We start from the raw sequence: 20,190 nt of genomic DNA, 5'->3' as shown, positions 1-20,190 counted from the left end.
TGCAGTGTCAGCACCACGCTGGAGATCCCGGCCGGAGTAGAGAGGCAGGAAGAAAAAAGGAAAAGCATCTAGGTGGTCTTTCTCTGCAGGTGGTCTCATCATCTGTGTAGAAAATGTAGTCTAATCTACAGAAAAAGCTACTCTGACTAGTGAGTGATTTTGGCAAGGTTGAAGGATATAAAAGTCAAGGTACAAAAACCAATTGCATTTCTATATAACTAACTATCAGAAATTAAAACTTAAAACACTACCATTGACAATAGCTTCCAAGCCAGGAAATAATTAGGGATAAGTTTGACAAAAGGTGCAAGACTTTATACGCTCATACTATAAAACATTGCCGAGAGAGATTAAAGAACTCAACAAATGGAGAGAAACATCATGCTCTTAGATGAGAAGGCCCAATATTGCCAAGGTGTCACCTTGCCCCAAGGTGATCTATAGATTCCACACAATTCTAGTCAAAATCTCCACAGGATGTTTTTTTTTTTTTTTTTGTAGAAGTTAACAAGCTTATTCTAAAAGTTATATAAAAATGTAAGGGACCCCTATAATAGCCAAAACAGGAGGGCACACGCCACCTGATGTCAGGACCCCGTCACATGGGTGCAGTATTGATACAGTGGAGCGCAGGCGTGACGGTAGCCGTGTAGACCCAGGGGATGGGGCGGGGAACCAGAAGCACGCCACAGGTGCACAGCCGGGTGGTGGCTGGCAAAGGGACGAGGACGCTGAGCGGAGGAAGGGCATCTCCATGAGTGGCTGCAGTCCCTGGACGTCCAAGTGCAGAACGAAACACAACAAAAACGAGGCCGCACGCCACGCAGGAAAATCAGCTCGAAATGGATCCGAGACCAAAGACCCTCACATTTCTAGCAGAAAGCACTGAAGAAAATCTTTATGACCGTCAGCAAATTTAAGAATTTCCACTCTTTGAAAGATATTGTTAAGAAAATGAAAAGTTACGCCAAGACTGGAAGAATCTGATAACAGTAACAAATTTAGACTATATAAAGAACTCTCAAAACTGAATAATAAGAAAGAAACAACCCTAAAAAAGATTTGAACAGATACTTCACGAGAAAAGATTTAGATAGCAAACAAAGTACGATGGAAGGATGCCCGACATCATTAATTATCAAGGAAATGCAAATGGAAACCACAATGGAATACCCCTGCACACCTGTTAGAATGGGTGAAACTCACACAGTCGACCAGAGCGCGTGTTGGGAGGGTGTGGAACCGGAACCCTCATACTCGGCTGGTGGGAATGGTGAATGCTGGAGCCACTTTGGAAGACAGTTTGGCAGTTTCTTAAGAAGTTAAAGCAGGCCTGTTGTATGCCGCAGTCATTCCACTCCATCTACCAAAGAGATAAGGAGACACGCGTCCCGCAGAAACTCATACACATGTTTACAGCAGCGTTATCTGCAATGACCTAAACCGGGAAACCACAGAAAGATCCATCACCCACAGGACGGACACCTGGACACCCAGTGGGCGATGAGCACATTGGGGTGCGGCCACGTGGTGGGGTCCTGCCCGGCAATGAGGGGCGAGCTGTTGGTGCGTGGGACAGCGTAGACGGGGCTCAGAAGGATTACGCTGAGGGGTGACGGGGCTCACTCAGAAGGATTACGCCGAGGGGTGACGGGGCTCACTCAGAAGGATTACGCTGAGGGAAAGAGGCTGGATCAAGGGAGTGCACAGGGATGGTTTCATTTTTACAAAAGCCTGGGAAATACAAACCAATGTACAAGTCAGAAGGCAGGTAAGTTGCTTCCTGGGGGTGGGGGCTGGGGCTGCAGGAGAAGTTGGGGGAGGGTCGTGGGTGCAGGAGGGAGGGTTGCAGGCATTTTGGGGAAGCTCCTGGGGCTGGGTGTGCCGTGACCTTCGCTGTGGCGATGACTTGCTGGCGTGCAGCGTCCAGTCCCGTCACGTTGCTCACTTTAAATGCAGGCAGCTCCCTGTGGTCAGTTGAACCTGAACAATGCTCAAATTGGACTCTGTACTCTGGCACTCCGAGCCTTCCTGTGACCCCAAGGCCTCGTGGAGTCTCCTGCTTGTGAGTGGAAATTTTTTACATGAAATACAGAAAGAGCAAATTTGCATCGGTGTCACGGAAGTTTGCAGAAGGGCACATGTGCGAAGTGGATCCTTGAAGGAGGAGGTCCAAGGACAGAGGGCCCTGCAGGCACCGTGTCCCAGGGAGGCTCCTCCAGGCCCAGGAGCTCCCACAGCAGTCGGCGTGGCAGCTTATAGCTGTTCTCCGTCTGATTCTGGCCCACTGGGTGCCCCGTCCATCACAGGCCACGGTCAGCCCCTTCTCGGAACTGTGGCTGGTCCCTCCGGCCGCCCTCCTGCCTTCCCCTGACGAGCACCGTGTGGGGTTGTGTCTGCCCTGCATGGCAGGAGGGTGGCTCAGTGGCCCAGGACTGGGTGGGGCTCAGGCTGTGGAGAGGGTGGGAGTGCCGGGTGGAGAGGCAGGGAGCCCGGAGCTGGAGTCGGTTGGCACAGACACGAGGCTCATGGAGGTGTCGGAAACCGTTTTTGATAGTGAAGTGCACCATGGCTCTAGAAAAATGCCCAAATGGAGAATCAGGCAGGAGGCAGCACCTGCACCCACCCGAGAGCCACTCCTGCTTCCCCAGCCCAGCTCGCCGCCCACAGCGCCCACCCTCCTGACTGTACTGCAAAGCCAGGGCCTTTTATCACCTCACCTCCAAGATCAGCACCCCAAAATCCTGCAGCCTGGGGTGCCTGTTATTAAACTCGTGCAAATGGCATCTGAGGGCACATGCTGCATCCAGCTCCTGCCTGGCTCTGTGGCTCCAGCTTCTGCCTGGCTCCGTGGCTGGTCTCTGTGGCTCCGGCTCCTGCCTGGCTCCGTGGCTGGTCTCCGTGGCTCCGGCTCCTCCCTGGCTCCGTGGCTGGTCTCTGTGGCTCCGGCTCCTGCCTGGCTCCGTGGCTGGTCTCCGTGGCTCCGGCTCCTCCCTGGCTCCGTGGCTGGTCTCTGTGGCTCCGGCTCCTGCCTGGCTCCGTGGCTGGTCTCCGTGGCTCCGGTTCCTGCCTGGCTCCGTGGCTCCGGCTCCTGCCTGGCTCTGTGGCAGGTCTCTGTGGCTCCGGCTCCTGCCTGGCTCCGTGGCTGGTCTCTGTGGCTCTGGCTCCTGCCTGGCTCCATGGCTGGTCTCTGTGGCTCTGGCTCCTGCCTGGCTCCGTGGCTGGTCTCTGTGGCTCCAGTTCCTGCCTGGCTCCGTGGCTCCGACTCCTGCCTGGCTCTGTGGTGGGTCTCTGCGGCTCCGGCTCCTGCCTGGCTCCGTGGCTGGTCTCCGTGGCTCCGGCTCCTGCCTGGCTCCGTGGCTGGTCTCCGTGGCTCCGGCTCCTGCCTGGCTCCGTGGCTGGTCTCCGTGGCTCCGGCTCCTGCCTGGCTCCGTGGCTGGTCTCTGTGGCTCCGGCTCCTGCCTGGCTCCGTGGCTGGTCTCTGTGGCTCCGGCTCCTGCCTGGCTCCGTGGCTGGTCTCTGTGGCTACGGCTCCTGCCTGGCTCCATGGCTCCGGCTCCTGCCTGGCTCCGTGGCTGGTCTCTGTGGCTCTGGTTCCTGCCTGGCTCCGTGGCTGGTCTCTGTGGCCGGCCGTGTTCCACCCACCACAATTTATCTGCCCCACCCCCCGTTACCAGACACCCTGTCTGTCTGCATGTCCTGGTGTGCCCGGGAGTCCCAGCCCTTTCGGCTTTTCACCAACCAGCTGTTTGTGAAGAGCCTGTTTTGTCTCTCACCGGTTCTTCTGTGGGGTTATCTGGGTTTTGTTCTTTGAGGTTTGTTGGATTTTCCTGGTATACTTTGGATATAATTTTTATTGTTTATATGAATGACAAATGTCTTCTCTGTACCAGTTCTTTTCACTCTCTTAAATGGGTCTTTTGATGAACAAAATATTTTAATGTTATTATAGTCTAATTTATCAATCTTTTTCTTAATAGCTGGTGCTTTTAGCATGTTTTCTAAGCCACTTTGTTGAGGTGTGACCGGCATGTAAGAAGCTGTACATGCCTAACATAGACCACTCAGTGAGTTTGTGGATGAGTGTGTCCACGAAGACATTATCGTGATCAGGCCATGCACGTGTTCATCGCCTCCCAAAGGCTCCTCCTGCCCCTTTATATTGCGTGTCTGTAGATGGTAAGAAATGCTAACATGAGCTCCACCCTCCCAGTGGGTTCTGAGCCCACAGCGCGGTGGACACACACAGCACACATCAGTGCACACGGCACACATCAGTACACACAGCACACATCAGCACACACACAGCACACATCAGCACTCACACAGCACACATCAGGGCACACACACAGCACACATCAGGGCACACACACAGCACACAGCGCACACAGCACACAGCACACACACAGCACACATCACTGCACACACAGCACACATCACCACACACACAGCACACAGTGCACACATCAGCACACATCAGCACTCACACAGCACACATCAGCGCACACACAGCACACATCAGCGCACACACAGCACACATCACCACACACACAGCACACAGTGCACACATCAGCACACATCAGCACACACAGCACACATCAGCACACATCAGCACTCACACAGCACACATCAGCACACACACAGCACACACAAGCAGCACACACAGCACACATTAGCACTCACACAGCACACATCACTGCACACACAGCACACATCAGCACACACACACATCAGCGCTCACACAGCACACAGCGCACAGACAGCACACATCAGCGCACAGACAGCACACATCAGCACTCACACAACATACAGCACACATCAGCACTCACACAGCACACAGCACACACACAGCACACATCAGTACACACACAGCACACATCAGCGCACACACAGCACACATCAGCACACAGCACACGTCAGCACACAGCACACATCAGCACACATCAGCACACAGCACACATCAGCGCACACAGCACACACAGCACACATCAGCACTCACACAGCACACAGCACACACACAGCACACATCAGCGCACACACAGCACACGTCAGCACACAGCACACATCAGCACACATCAGCACACAGCACACAGCGCACACAGCACACACAGCACACATCAGCACACAGCACACATCAGCACACAGCACACATCAGCACTCACACAGCACACAAAACACACATCAGCACACACAGCACACATCAGCACTCACACAGCACACATCAGCGCTCACACAGCACACAGCACACACACAGCACACATCAGTGCACACACAGCACACAGCACACATCAGCACTCAGCACACACAGCACACATCAGCACACAGCACACATCAGCACTCACACAGCACACACAACACACAGCACACACAGCACACATCAGCACTCACACAGCACACATCAGCGCTCACACAGCACACAGCACACACACAGCACACATCAGCACACACACAGCACACATCAGCGCACACAGCACACATCACCGCACACACAGCACACAGTGCACACATCAGCACACATCAGCACACACAGCACACATCAGCACACATCAGCACTCACACAGCACACAGCACACACACAGCACAAACAAGCAGCACACACAGCACACATTAGCACTCACACAGCACACATCACTGCACACACAGCACACATCAGCACACACACACATCAGCGCTCACACAGCACACAGCGCACAGACAGCGCACATCAGCGCACAGACAGCACACATCAGCACTCACACAACATACAGCACACATCAGCACTCACACAGCACACAGCACACACACAGCACACATCAGTGCACACACAGCACACAGCACACACACAGCACACATCAGCGCACACAGCACACATCAGCACACAGCACACGTCAGCACACAGCACACATCAGCACACATCAGCACACAGCACACATCAGCGCACACAGCACACACAGCACACATCAGCACTCACACAGCACACAGCACACACACAGCACACATCAGCGCACACACAGCACACGTCAGCACACAGCACACATCAGCACACATCAGCACACAGCACACAGCGCACACAGCACACACAGCACACATCAGCACACAGCACACATCAGCACACAGCACACATCAGCACTCACACAGCACACACAACACACATCAGCACACACAGCACACATCAGCACTCACACAGCACACAGCACACACACAGCACACATCAGTGCACACACAGCACACAGCACACATCAGCACTCAGCACACACAGCACACATCAGCACACCGCACACATCAGCACTCACACAGCACACACAACACACAGCACACACAGCACACATCAGCACTCACACAGCACACATCAGCGCTCACACAGCACACAGCACACACACAGCACACATCAGCACACACACAGCACACATCAGCACACAGCGCACAGACAGCACACATCACTCACACAGCACACATCAGCACACAGAGCACACATCAGCACACACACAGCACACATCAGCACATACAAAGCACACATCAGCACACACAGCACACATCAGCACTCACAGCACACAGCACACATCAGCGCACACACAGCACACAGCACACACAGCACACATCAGCACACACACAGCACACATCACTGCACACACAGCACACATCACCACACACACAGCACACAGTGCACACATCAGCACACATCAGCACTCACACAGCACACATCAGCACACATCAGCGCACACACAGCACACATCACCGCACACAGCACACAGTGCACACATCAGCACACATCAGCACACACAGCACACAGCACACATCAGCACACACACAGCACACACAAGTGCACACACAGCACACATCAGCACTCACACAGCACACATCACTGCACACACAGCACACATCAGCACACATCAGCACTCACACAGCACACATCAGCACACACAGCACACACAAGCGCACACACAGCACACATCAGCGCACAGACAGCACACATCAGCACTCACACAACACACAGCACACATCAGCACTCACACAGCACACAGCACACACACAGCACACATCAGCGCACACACAGCACACGTCAGCACACAGCACACGTCAGCACACATCAGCACACAGCACACATCAGCACACACAGCACACACAGCACACATCAGCACTCACACAGCACACATCACTGCACACACAGCACACATCACCACACACACAGCATACAGTGCACACATCAGCACACATCAGCACACACACAGCACACATCACTGCACACACAGCACACATCACCACACACACAGCACACATCACCACACACACAGCACACAGTGCACACATCAGCACACCAGCACTCACACAGCACACACACAGCACACATCAGCGCACACACAGCACACATCACCGCACACAGCACACATCAGCACACACACAGCACACAGTGCACACATCAGCACACATCAGCACACACAGCACACAGCACACATCAGCACACACACAGCACACACAAGTGCACACACAGCACACATCAGCACTCACACAGCACACATCACTGCACACACAGCACACATCAGCACACACAGCACACATCAGCACACATCAGCACTCACACAGCACACATCAGCACACACAGCACACACAAGCGCACACACAGCACACATCAGCGCACACACAGCACACACAAGCGCACACACAGCACACATCAGCGCACACACAGCACACATCAGCACTCACACAACACACATCACTGCACACACAGCACACAGCACACACAGCACACATCAGCGCTCACACAGCACACAGCGCACAGACAGCACACATCAGCACTCACACAACACACAGCACACATCAGCACTCACACAGCACACAGCACACACACAGCACACATCAGCGCACACACAGCACACGTCAGCACACAGCACACGTCAGCACACATCAGCACACAGCACACATCAGCACACACAGCACACACAGCACACATCAGCACTCACACAGCACACAGCACACACACAGCACACATCAGCGCACACACAGCACACAGCACACACACAGCACACATCAGCGCACACACAGCACACGTCAGCACACAGCACACATCAGCACACATCAGCACACAGCACACAGCGCACACAGCACACATCAGCACTCACACAGCACACACAACACACATCAGCACACACAGCACACATCAGCACTCACACAGCACACATCAGCGCTCACACAGCACACAGCACACACACAGCACACATCAGTGCACACACAGCACACAGCACACACAGCACACATCAGCACACAGCACACATCAGCACTCACACAGCACACACAACACACAGCACACACAGCACACATCAGCACTCACACAGCACACATCAGCGCTCACACAGCACACACACAGCACACATCAGCACACACACAGCACACAGCACACATCAGCACTCACACAGCACACACAGCACACATCAGCGCACAGACAGCACACATCAGCACTCACACAGCACACATCAGCACACACACAGCACACATCAGCACACACAAAGCACACATCAGCACACACAGCACACATCAGCACTCACAGCACACAGCACACACAGCACACATCAGCACACACACAGCACACAGCACACACAGCACACATCAGCACACACACAGCACACATCAGCACACACACAGCACACATCAGCACACACAGCACACATCAGCGCACACACAGCACACATCAGCACACACACAGCACACATCAGCACACACACAGCACACATCAGCACACACAGCACACATCAGCGCACACACAGCACACATCAGCACTCAGCACACATCAGCACACACAGCACACATCAGTGCTCACACAGCACGCATCAGCGCACACACAGCACACATCAGCACACACAGCACACATCAGTGCACACACAGCACACATCAGCGCACACACAGCACACATCAGCACACACAGCACACATCAGTGCACACACAGCACACATCAGCACTCACAGCACACATCAGCACTCAGCACACATCAGCACACACAGCACACATCAGTGCTCACACAGCACACATCAGCGCACACACAGCACACATCAGCACACACAGCACACATCAGTGCACACACAGCACACATCAGCACTCACAGCACACATCAGCACTCAGCACACATCAGCACTCACAGCACACATCAGTGCTCACACAGCACACATCAGCGCTGTGTACCCTTTGCCCTGCGGGTCAGCGGAGCTTCCTCATCCTGCACCACCAGGGCTTTGCACCCTGGGCCAGCACCTCTCACTCCCTCCCCCAGCCCCCGTCAGCCACCACTCACTCTGCTTCTGTGAGCTGCACTCTTAGATTCCTCATGTATATGGAATCATGCAGCCTCTGGCCTTCGGTGCCTGGCTTTTTTCACTTTGCGTGATGTCCTCAAGGTTCATCCATGTTGTCGCCAACGGCGACAGGATGTCATCTTGCTAAGGCTGAGACCTGCTCCGTCGTCACCTTTAGATGTCACCTTTTCATCAACCTGTTAGCCATTTTTATGTCTTCTTTAGAGAAATGTCCCTTCAGGTCCTTGGCCCGTTCTTCGATTGGGTTGTTTGGTTTTTTACTATTGTATTATAGGAGTTCCTTATATACTTAGGCTATTGATCCCTTATCAAATATACATTCTACATTCATTTTCTCCCACTCCATAGATCACTTTTGCATTACGTTATTTCCTTAGCCATACAGAAGCTTTTCAGTTTGATGTGATCTCACGTGTTTATTTCTGCTTGTGTTGCTTATGATTTCAATGTTATATCCAAAAAATCATTGCCAAGACCCAGTCAAGGAGCTTTTATCCTGTGTTTTCTTCTAGTAGTTTTATCGTTTCAGGTCTTACATTTAAGCCTGTAATCCATTTTGAGTTGGTTTTTGTAGATGGTGTAAGATAAGGCTCCAAACTCATTGTTTTGTGTGTGGATATTGGGTTACCCCAACACTGTTTATTGACGAGACCGTCATTTCCGCATTGTGTGTTCTTGGCACCTTTGTCAAATATCAATTGACCCTGAACGTGTGGGTTTATTTCTGGATTCTCCATTCTCTTCTATCGGGCCCAGTGTCTGCTTTTATACCAGTACCACATTGTTTTGATTACTATAGCTTTGTTGCATAATTTCAAGTCAGGTAATGTGATGCCACCAGCTTTGTTCTTGCTCAGGATTGCTTTGATTATTCAGGGTCTTTTGTGGCTCCTCATAAATTTTAGGATTGCTTTTCTATTTCTGTCAAAAATGCCATTGGAATTTTGATAGTGCATTGCATCTGTAGGCTTTGGGTAATATGGGCAATTAAAAAGATTAATTCTTCCAATCCATGAACACAGGATATCTTCCCATTTATTTATGTCTCCTTCAACTTGTTTCCTCAGTGTCTTACAGTTTCCAAGGCACAGATCTCTCACTTGATAGTTGAATTTATTCCTAAGTATTTTATTCGTTCTGATGATATTATAAATAGGGTGGTTTTCTTAATTTCTTAATTAGATAGTTCATTGTAATGATGAGTTCATTGTAATGTATAGTACTGATTTTAATGATAGTTCATTGTAATGTATAGAAATACTACTGATTTTTGTATGTTGATTTTGTGTCTTTCAACTTTACTTAATTTATTAGTTCTAACAGTTTTTTGGTAGAGTCTTTGAGGTCTTGTATATATAAGAGCTTGTTATCTGCAAACATAATTTCACATCTTTTTTTCTGATGTGTGTGCCTGTTCTTTCTTTTTTTTCTTTTTTTTTTTTTCTGGAGATGGAGTCTCACTCTGTTGCCCAGGCTAGAGTGCAGTGGCGCAATCTCGGCTCACTGCAACCTTGAGCCTCCCAGGTTCAAGCAATTCTCCTGCCTCAGCCTCTCGAGTAGCTGGGATTACAGGTGCACACCACCATACCCAGCTAATTTTTGTAATTTTAGTAGAGACGGGGTTTGGCTATGTTGGTCAGGCTGGTCTCAAACTCCTGCCCTCAGGTGATCCACCCACCTCGGCCTCCCAAAGTGCTGGGATTACAGGCATGAACCACCGCACCTGGCCTGTTATTTCTCTTTCTTTCCCGACTGCTCTGGTGGGGACTTCCAGCGCTGTTTAAATAGTCAAGAGTGGGCTTCCTTGCCTTGTTTCTGATCTTAGGTGAAAGCTTTGTGCTTTTCACTGTTAGCTGTGGTTTGTCATTAGGTGTGTTCGGGGTTTTTAAAATCTTTCTTCACCTCATGATCATGAAAATATTCTCCGATGACATCCTCTAAATGCATCTTTTTTTGTGTTCCACCTTTCACGTTTCCACCTAACTGCCATCCGAGATGGACTCTGTGGAGTGTGAAGTGGAGTTTAAGGTTTTTTCTACGAGGGGATCCAGCTGTCTGCACATCGCTTATTGAAACATCCTTCCCTTCCCCACTGCCCGGCGCGGCCACCACTGTCATGGCAGGGGCAGAAAAGGAAAGCAGCAGCCCAACTAGACGCTCCAGCAACGGTGTGGTTGGCAGGACACGGGCCGCCCAGGGGTGCCTGTGAGCCTGCGACGTCGCGTGGTCCTGGGGCTTTGCAGATGCGATTCCAGACTTGAGACGATCCTGGGGATCTGGGTGGGCCCAGGTGATGAGAAAGCCCTCACACAAGAGAAGCAGGAGAAGGAGCCTGGGGGCTGCGCTGCCGACGGTGAGGATGGAGGGCGTGGCCAGGAGCCAGGAGAGGATTCTCCCCGGGAGCCTCCAGGCAGAGCGCGGCCGACGCCGTTCACTGTGACCCAGTGACCCCATTCGGACCTCCGACTCCCAGAACCGTCAGACAGGAAGCAGTGCCACATCAAGCCTGCGTTTTGTAGTAATTGGTTAACAGCAGCCACACAAACTAACAGAACCCTCACCACAGAGTCACTGAAAGCCGGGCTGCCGGTGATCTAGAGCCTTGAGTGTCCTCAGCCGCCAACCGCTGAGTCTGGGGCGCCGCCAGGTGTGGCCGCACTGCCGTAAAGCGCTAAGGACACCACCAGAGAGTCGGTGTGCAAACTCCCAACAAATAGAGAAGGAAGAATGAATGAGGAAGACGAAGGGGCCGGTTACCTCAATCAAATCCAACAGCTGGTCATGGAGAAACAGGTAGAAAACCAGGACAAATAAAAATAAAGTAGTAAGATGGTAGAAGTTGGCCCATTTATGTCATATATCAAAAAAAGAAAATTGGCCAACCCTGCCAGTGAGAAGACACAGGAGATAAGAGGTGCCAGCCGCATGCCCTTTGCAGGAAGCACGCCCGTCACAAATGACCCCCACGTGATAAACCAAGAGAAGGGAAAATGAGTAAATATTTAAGAGTAACCCGGAGGGCCGGTGTCTGACTCTCAGAGGAAACAGACTTTAGAGCCAGGCATTATTAGGGACATGGACATCATGAGAATCGAAAGTTCGCCTCCTCAGAGGTATGAAATAGCCTCTAAATACAAAAAGCAATAAAAAGCAAAAACCGCGGGGTGCAGCCGTTGGCCAGCCCCAACGCTGGGAGATTTTACCACGCCTGGATTACTGACGGTCCAGACAAAGAGCAAAAAGAGAGAGATTCAGGGCGACATAATTAACAATCTTGGCTTAATAGAGACATGGAACTCTGTGCCTCAAAAGTGGCGATTTGCAATCTTTTCAAGTATCCTGGGAATAATCACAAAATTGAGAAGCAAATCCCACTGTGCCTCAGACACAGGCAGACGGCCCGCATCTGAGGCCACAGCGTGATGAGGGTAGAAAGCAGTTCCCGAAGGCAGACTTTTTTCCATCCTCGCGCACTTGAAAATTCAACAGCTCACTTCTAAATATCTCATGGGACTCAGAAGACATGAAATGATCATGGAAATGTCAAAAACTAGCGAGATGTTGCTAAACATAACTTAGAAGGTATTGCAGATGTAAATGCCAACGTCAGAATAGGAAAAGCGCCAGGAATTCAGAAGCTCAGCATCTGATTTAAGAAGTCAGAGTTGGCCGGGCACAATTGCTCACGCCTGTAATCCCAGAACTTTGGGAGGCCAAGGTGGGCGGATCACCCAAGGTCAGGAGATCGAGACCATCCTGGCTAACACGGTGAAACCCCATCTCTACTAAAAATACACAAAATTAGCCGGGCGTGGTGGCGGGTACTTGTAATCCCAGCTACTCGGGAGGCTGAGGCAGGAGAATGGTGTGAACCCGGGAGGTGGAGCTTGCAGTGAGCCGAGATCGCGCCACTGCACTCCAGCCTGGGCGACAGAGCGAGACTCCGTCTCAAAAAAAAAAAAAAAAAAAAAGAAGAAGTCAGAGCAAGGAGGCAGAATGATCCCCAGGTGAGCAGAGGAGAACATGCAGAAGACGCCAGGGAAACAGAGATGCCACAGAGAAGAGCAACCGAGAACGCCAGAAACGGAAAGACACAGCGCTAACGACGCACCAGCAGCGACAGGAGAACCCGGAAGTCCCCGAGCAACTTTGAATCAACGTAGCAAAACCCCTGGGCAGCAAGGACAAAATACTAGGAGAAAACACCTTCCGATGCCAGGAAGAAAGCAAACCTGAGTAGTCTCATAACCAATAAAAAAGGACATCGATGGATTTGAGTCTTCCCACAAAAAATATGTTTTTCCATGTTTTCACTGAATTCTGCCAGACTGTCAAGAAACAGATCATGTCAGTGTTAGATAAATCTCCCCAGTAATAGAAAAGTAGACAGCTCCTCCCATCCTTCCCTAGGCCAGCCTACCTCCTCCCAGACTGCCCCAGAACAGCACAAAAAATACATAAAAAGATAAGCTGCCATCACTCAGTTCAGCTTTTCTCTTCCCTTCCTCCCCACTTCCTGACGGTCTCGCTCTGTCACCCAGGCTGGAGTCCAGTGGCACAATCACAGCTCACTGCAGCCTCCACCTCCTGGGCTCAAGCGATCCTCCCTCCTCGGCCTCCCAAAACACTGGGATTACAGGCATAAGCCACGTGCCGGGCCCCAGTTTAACCTTAAAACGTACAGATGTCCTAGAGGAACAGTGCAAGCATTTCAGTCAGCGCAGGGGAAAAGCATTTGATAAAATGCACATATTTACTTCGTGAGCCAGGAACCAAACGCAATGCCCCATCCTGATAAAGAAATCCATCAAAAGCTGGAGACAGCCTCCTTCTTAATGAGGATCCCTCAGAAGCAGCCTCTTTGAAGGCGGTCAGGCAGTGGGCCCCATGCGTGCGTCCATTCCGCTGTCTGCTGGAGGCCCCAGCATAGGCACACAGAAAGGAAAGTCGGGGGCAGAAACAGGAGGGAAGTGGCCATCCTTCCCAGGCACATGACTATCTACTCAGAGCCTGCAAAAGAAAGTGTTCGTGTCGAAAGGGGCAGGTTGTAAATCCCTGTACAGAAGGCCCTGGAACCAGTGAGGGGCCCGGGCATGGCAGGCACACTGGTGAGTACCCAGTGGGGTGGGTGAATGGTCAGCCAGGTGGGCCTTGGAGCCTTTGGAGACTGGTTCTTTCTTAAGGACTTTCCCAACCCTGTGAACCTTTGCATTTCACAAGTTATTGCCACGTCAACTTTACACAAATTAAAACCGCTTGTTCTCACAACTTGTTTTTTTTTTCATTTAAGTGAAATTTGCATAACATGAAATTAACCGACCGTGTGGCCGGAGGGCTGCCTCGAGCTGCTGCCAAACATCCCTGCCTCTTTCTTGTCTTCAACAGAAGGTGGCGTGAAAAAGGAGGGAAGAAGCAGAGACCCCAAAAAGAGAAGCCTAGCGAAGAAGGGCAGGAAGGTGGGTGGGGGCCTGTGATAGGGGATCGGGCTGGTGGGCACAGCGGGAGGTCAGGCTCCTGGCCCCTGCACCTGCTGACCCTGGTCTGTGGTTGCAGGGCAGCATCCCCCGGACCATCCCCCCTGACTGCATCATAGTCGACTCAGACAACTTCAAGTGTATCCTTTGATGGGCCCCGGGGGGGCCCCAGACCCCGCCCTGTGCTCCCGTTTCTCCTTGACCGGGACCCAGTCGTCGTGGACCCATACGAGGAGGCCCAGGGCCCAGGTGGGTGCTGCACAGGGCTCCCTGTTCAGGCACACGCCAGCCTCGGGCCTCCTGCCGTCCTGCAGTTGTGGGCAGCAACTGGTGCCCCACTCCTCGAGGCTCCGAAATCTGCATATGTGCTTGCCCCATTTTGGCTGTAAATATTTTAATTTGTTGAGGTTTTCTCTCTGGCTAGCCTGGTTCTACCATCACCCCACCCGGGCATGGCAGGGCACTGATATATGCGCCTGCATTCGCTGTGACCCCTCCCCAGGGACCCCGGCCCTGCACACCCGTGTCTGATGAAACACCGTGGTCTGTATCCACCCTGTTCTCCTTGCAGAAATGCTAACTCCTGTCTCCATCACCCAAGACATTTTGGAAAGATTCCAAGACACATTCACGTCGCGATGGGCGGGACATCTGGGAAGCAAGCACTTTCCCAGGTTCGGATCTGGGCTCCCAGGAGCCGTTTGCAGTGTGGCAGGTCTGGGGGTCCAGCGGGGAGCCACTGCCCCCTACCCCCGGCTCCCTGGGTCTGCCCTGCCAGTCCTGCCACATACAGCATGCAATGCTGAGACAGACCCAGCTCCTTGAATCCTCACAGAGACTGGGCGAGGGGCACTGTTACCCTGCTTTACAGATGGCGACCTGGGGCCCCCAGGGTCACTGATAGCACATGGTCCAGCAGCAGGGGCTGCCTCTTCACCAGCAGCACTGCAGCCCCTCCAGAGACCACTCGCAGACTCTGCCCCCCAGATGCCCTTGGGGTTCCGTGGTCCAGAGGTGTCCAGAAGCAGCCAGCAGGGAACAGAGCAATCAGGGAGAGAGCACCACGGGTGGGAGGGATCGTTCCACGTCACAGGCTCCACGCCAGGGGCGGGGCTGCAGGGGCAGGTGTGTGCAGGGGCGGGGCTGCAGGGGCAGGTGTGTGCAGGGGCGGGGCTGCAGGGGCAGGTGTGTGCAGGGGCGGGGCTGCAGGGGCAGGTGTGTGCAGGGGCGGGGCTGCAGGGGCAGGTGTGTGCAGGGGCGGGGCTGCAGGGGCAGGTGTGTGCAGGGGCGGGGCTGCAGGGGCAGGTGTGTGCAGGGACAGGTGTGTGCAGGGGCAGGTGTGTGCAGAGGGTGGCACTGCAGGGGCAGGTGTGTGCAGGGACAGGTGTGTGCAGAGGTGGGGCTGCAGGGGCAGGTGTGTGCAGGGACAGGTGTGTGCAGAGGTGGGGCTGCAGGGGCAGGTGTGTGCAGGGGCAGGTGTGTGCAGAGGGTGGCACTGCAGGGGCAGGTGTGTGCAGGGGTGGGGCTGCAGGGGCAGGGCTGGGATCCTGTATGGAAGGAGGGAACCCTGGTCTGGTCACTGTCTCCCATGCCTGGAGTACTGGGGGTGCCTTGACCTCCAGGTGCTGGGCCATTGGGAAAGCCCCTCCTAGCGTTTCCCGCAGCGAGCCCCGCCCGAGTAGGGGTGTTCATTCCAGCGTAGAAGTCCATGCTCACCGTGGGTCCCCTTGACTAGGCTCCGCCGTGACCCCTGTGATCAGAGCACAGAGGAGGGAGGCGTGGGCATTAGGAACATGAAAGAAAGTTCAGTTTAATGCACAAATGGGACAGGCGTGGACCACGCAGGATGTGGCCTGCTTTAAGAACGCACGGTGGGGTCTGGTACAGGTGCATGGGCACTGTTGACCAGCGCTCTCCTCTCTCTGCAGCCAGGCCCAGTGGGAGCAGGCCCTGGGCAGCTGCAGCGGTTTCTTCTTCTATGGAATGGAGAGCTTCCTGTCCCATATATTAGTGGAGAGATTGGTCGCCATGAACTTGCAAGGTGAGAGGTGTCCTCTCAGCACCCCCTCCCCCGCGGGCACAGGACAAACCCGCCTGAGGGCAGAGCAGGGCCACTGTCACCTGCTGGTGCTGCCCCCACCCCCTGTGGCCGCAGCCCCCTCCTGCCCCCCACCCTCTGTGACTGCAGGCCCCTCCTGTCTGCAGGTGGACGACCTCTACCCACCCCTGCACCCCCTGCCTGGCCCACACAGACGTGGCAGCCACAGGGGCTTCTGGCCCTCCCGCCCTTCATTTCCGAGTGCCCCCACTCCACCCAGCCCAGCTTTTCAGACCTGGCAGGAGTCAGTGCTGGGCCCAGGAGCCCAGGAAGGCTGGGGTGGGCTCAGGACCGCGCTGGTCACGGCCCCTCCCTCAGGGCCTCTAGTTTAATCGTGGGCACTCGGGACCTCGCCTTCCCCTTCGCCATCCACCAGCCGTGGAGGGGCTGCCAGGTGTGGTCCTGCCATGCTTGGCACAGTGACACCCCAGCCAGCTCCAGCACAGGGGGGGCTTTTGGCAGGAGGTGGGGATGGCAGGGCAGGCTGGGGGCGTGGCGTGAGCACAGCACACACGTAGGGGTACGTCACCCTGTCACACGCCACGGCCCAAGGGTAGTGCTGACGGAGACAGCAGGCGCAGCCACTCGGACACCGCAGGGCGAGTGGTCAGGAGGCAGGCGTGGCTCAGCCTTGTGCCGAGGCCACCCCTCTGACTCAACGTCCTGTGGCTGCAGCCCCACCAGGACGCCCCCTGTGCAGGGCCAGCCCACTTGCCGTGACCTTCTCTGATGGGGCTGCTGATGGCCCCACTGTGTGGGGTTGACAGGAGTCTTTTAGGGACTCGGGAGTTGCTGTGCCCCCCATGAGGGGTGTGGGCCCTGTTGATGGAGCGGAGCAGGTGTGTGGACACTTGTCCTGTGGCACCTGGCACCCAGGGCCTGCACTTGGGTGGGGCCAAGCAGGACCCCCACTCTGCTCTGCAAGCCTGGGCCTTGGCCATCAGAGGTGCTGGAAGCCCATCCCAGGTGGAGTTAGAAATGGGCCTCTTTGAAAGTTGAATTCCAACTGAGGCAGTGAGTAAAGTAGAAGAGGCCTCGCCAGGGCTCCCCCAACTCCCCAGCAGCCTCGGCCTCACGCAGCTGGACAGCCTGTCTGCGGGAACGGCCAGGCTGCGAGTGGAAGTGGGCAGCGCCCAGGGTTGCCCTGGCCCCCGATCCCTGCTTCCGTGGAGGGCCCAGGCCAGGGTGACCAGCTCATGCCCAGTGCCCGGGGCTCCCCTGCATCCCAGGAGCCTGCCATGTCTCCACTACACAGGGACATGTGGCCCCCTCACATCAGCCCCCAGTCAGTGCTGCCCCCCAGCAGCCTGTCCCTCCGTCCTTGGGGAGGGCTCCACCTCGTACACCTCATTCATGTGGGGTGCCAGGGTGTCCAGGCATGGTGGGGGTGCCGAGATGCCCTCCAGGGCAGAGGAGGCTGGGGGAGCCCAGGTGGGCTTCCCACCACTTCCTGTTGCCCGGCACAGTCGCCGGGAGGAGGCTGTGAAGGGGTCTGGGCTCCTGAGGCTGGCGAGGTCCACTGTGGCCAGGGGGTCCCTGGAAAAAACCTGACGGTCATGAGGTCGGAGCCCGGAGCTGAGTGGCCAGCGTGCCATGCCCTGCTGCGCCCTTGGGGCACAGGCCCCACCTGCCCACACCCCATCCCCACTCCCCATGTCAGGCCAAGGCTGCTGAGCTGCCCTTCCCGTCCCGGCAGAGTGCCAGGTGGCAGTCCTGCTGGACCTGGCGCGGTCCTACCAGAGCTTGAAGAGGCACATGGAGAGCGTGGAGCACAGGAGGTGCCTGGCTGCCTGGAACGGGTGGGCAGGGATGCTGAGGATGGAGAGGTCAGACAGACGGGCGTGGGACCCACAAGGGAGGAGGGACCTGGGGTCGGGTTTCAAGAACGGTGAGAGCTGTCAGGGTGCACATGCGTTCCAGCAGTTGGCGAGGTGTGGCTGTGCATGGGGAGGGGGGCGGCTCAGCCGGGCCCCTGGCACCAGCCCACGGGAGCCGGGTCCCCACAGCGCCTCACAGCTGTCCCTGGAGGAGCCCGTTGAGGCGGCCATCCTGCTGAGCCTGGTGGGCGTCAAGAGCATCCTGGCAAACCAGTGGCCGACGCTGCTGCAGGACAACGCGCTGCGGGCCAGCGTCTTATGGGAAAGTGCGTGGGCCCCTGGCATCCCGGGCCTGTCCCGCAACCCTTCAGCAAGGCTGCCAGGGTGTCCATGCCCTCCTGAGGGGACGTTTCTCCCCTAGATCTGTTGGCCGTTGGGAAGCCAATTGGAGAAACAGTGCGTCTCCTTCAGAAGATGAGTGGCGACGAGGCGGTGAACCAAGGTAAGGGAGGGGCGGCCTGCACCCCGCGGCCTTCAGCACCCTCTGCAGCCACTGCCCATGGGGCACGTGCACTGCACAGCCCTGCAGGGACAGGTGTCTCCGCTTCTCCGTGGGGGACCTGGGACTCCAGACGTTAACTAGGAGCCGGAAAGAGGGAGGGCTTGTTCTTGCCTGGAAGTTGCCTGCGTCTCTGTACCACCCCAGCCCCCCACCGTGGCGCGACCCTCGGCAGTGACGGCCCACAGTGCCACGTGGCTCCAGAACCCAGAGGGAAAGCATCACGGTTCCTCGTTGACAGCTCCAGTCACACAATCCCCACGAGCCCAGGGGCTGTCTGGGAACCAGTGGGAAATCCAGGTGGCAGCTGTGCCTGGCCCCCTCCCCAAGCAAGGACTCCTAGGGGGCCGACAGCTTGCACCACAGTGCCCGACGGCCCCTTGATATGACCAGGAGTCCCAGCCCAGGAAGAGGCCTCCCGGAAGAGGAATGCATGGGTTGAGGGGTGTCTCCCATTGGCGTCCTGGAGAGCAGCCTGCCTGTCACATGGCATCCAGCGCCCGTCCCTCTCTTGGCCTCACAGGGGAAAAGTCGGGAAGGGGCACGGGACATGGTCTGTTCTCAAACACGGACAGACGGAACCCCACCCAGCCGTCCTTCAGAGTCAGCAAAACCCTCCTGCCACGGTGAGGCGGGAGGAGCCAGAAAGGAGCTTCCCGGGACCCCGGGGAGGAGCCACAGAGGAGCTTCCCGGGACCCTGAGTTGAGGCGCTCAGCGGTGCACGGAGGGGGTGGTCTGCCCTGACTAAGAAGGCTTCCCCCAGAGGCCTTCAGTATCCACCGCTCACCAGGAGCTTATCGTGTAAAGAGCACGTGGTCCACGGTCCGGGGATACCGGTCCCAAGGATCCCTGCTTGTTGGGGGAGAGAGGGAGCGAGGGGCAGGAGGAAGGCAGACGGAACCCACACTCATCCCTGCAAATGCAGAGCAGGGCACAGACACGGATGCCGCCGTGATGTGG

At 55.1% G+C, this 20,190-nt stretch overlaps 1 protein-coding gene across 9 annotated transcripts in view, besides 3 other annotated features; it reads left to right on the top strand.

Annotated features, from left to right (window-relative positions):
• The window catches only part of CFAP46 (cilia and flagella associated protein 46), a 134,179-nt gene that overhangs the window by 112,990 nt on the left and 999 nt on the right, over nucleotides 1–20,190 (top strand). For 2 of the 9 annotated variants that reach the window (NM_001200049.3, XM_047425388.1), the window contains exons 51-57: nucleotides 14,667–14,737; nucleotides 14,835–14,895; nucleotides 14,969–15,004; nucleotides 15,327–15,429; nucleotides 16,684–16,796; nucleotides 18,550–18,631; nucleotides 19,092–19,172. In NM_001200049.3, the coding sequence (NP_001186978.2) occupies nucleotides 14,667–14,737; nucleotides 14,835–14,895; nucleotides 14,969–15,004; nucleotides 15,327–15,429; nucleotides 16,684–16,796; nucleotides 18,550–18,631; nucleotides 19,092–19,172 (547 nt within the window). Of the gene's footprint in view, nucleotides 1–1,959; nucleotides 2,066–14,666; nucleotides 14,738–14,834; nucleotides 14,896–14,968; nucleotides 15,005–15,326; nucleotides 15,430–16,683; nucleotides 16,797–18,513; nucleotides 18,653–18,859; nucleotides 18,997–19,091; nucleotides 19,173–20,190 lie in introns of those variants that run through there. The other 7 variants (XM_047425387.1, XM_047425386.1, XM_047425390.1 and 4 more) reach the window with 6 other exon arrangements.
• Nucleotides 2,789–3,288: an enhancer, noted in NCBI's record as "H3K4me1 hESC enhancer chr10:134639797-134640296 (GRCh37/hg19 assembly coordinates)". NCBI's record gives its function as "activates a minimal SCP1, AML or CMV promoter by ChIP-STARR-seq in primed H9 embryonic stem cells {active_cell/tissue: H9 hESC(primed)}" and the evidence as "EXISTENCE:reporter gene assay evidence [ECO:0000049][PMID:30033119]".
• Nucleotides 11,204–11,704: an enhancer, noted in NCBI's record as "H3K4me1 hESC enhancer chr10:134631381-134631881 (GRCh37/hg19 assembly coordinates)". NCBI's record gives its function as "activates a minimal SCP1, AML or CMV promoter by ChIP-STARR-seq in naive H9 embryonic stem cells {active_cell/tissue: H9 hESC(naive)}" and the evidence as "EXISTENCE:reporter gene assay evidence [ECO:0000049][PMID:30033119]".
• Nucleotides 11,705–12,205: an enhancer, noted in NCBI's record as "H3K4me1 hESC enhancer chr10:134630880-134631380 (GRCh37/hg19 assembly coordinates)". NCBI's record gives its function as "activates a minimal SCP1, AML or CMV promoter by ChIP-STARR-seq in naive and primed H9 embryonic stem cells {active_cell/tissue: H9 hESC(naive and primed)}" and the evidence as "EXISTENCE:reporter gene assay evidence [ECO:0000049][PMID:30033119]".

This window comes from Homo sapiens, chromosome 10, assembly GCF_000001405.40.
Source record: "Homo sapiens chromosome 10, GRCh38.p14 Primary Assembly".
NCBI classification, from domain to species: Eukaryota; Metazoa; Chordata; class Mammalia; order Primates; family Hominidae; genus Homo; species Homo sapiens.
Note: the sequence above shows the minus strand (reverse complement) of the source record. Positions and strands in the feature narration are given on the sequence as shown.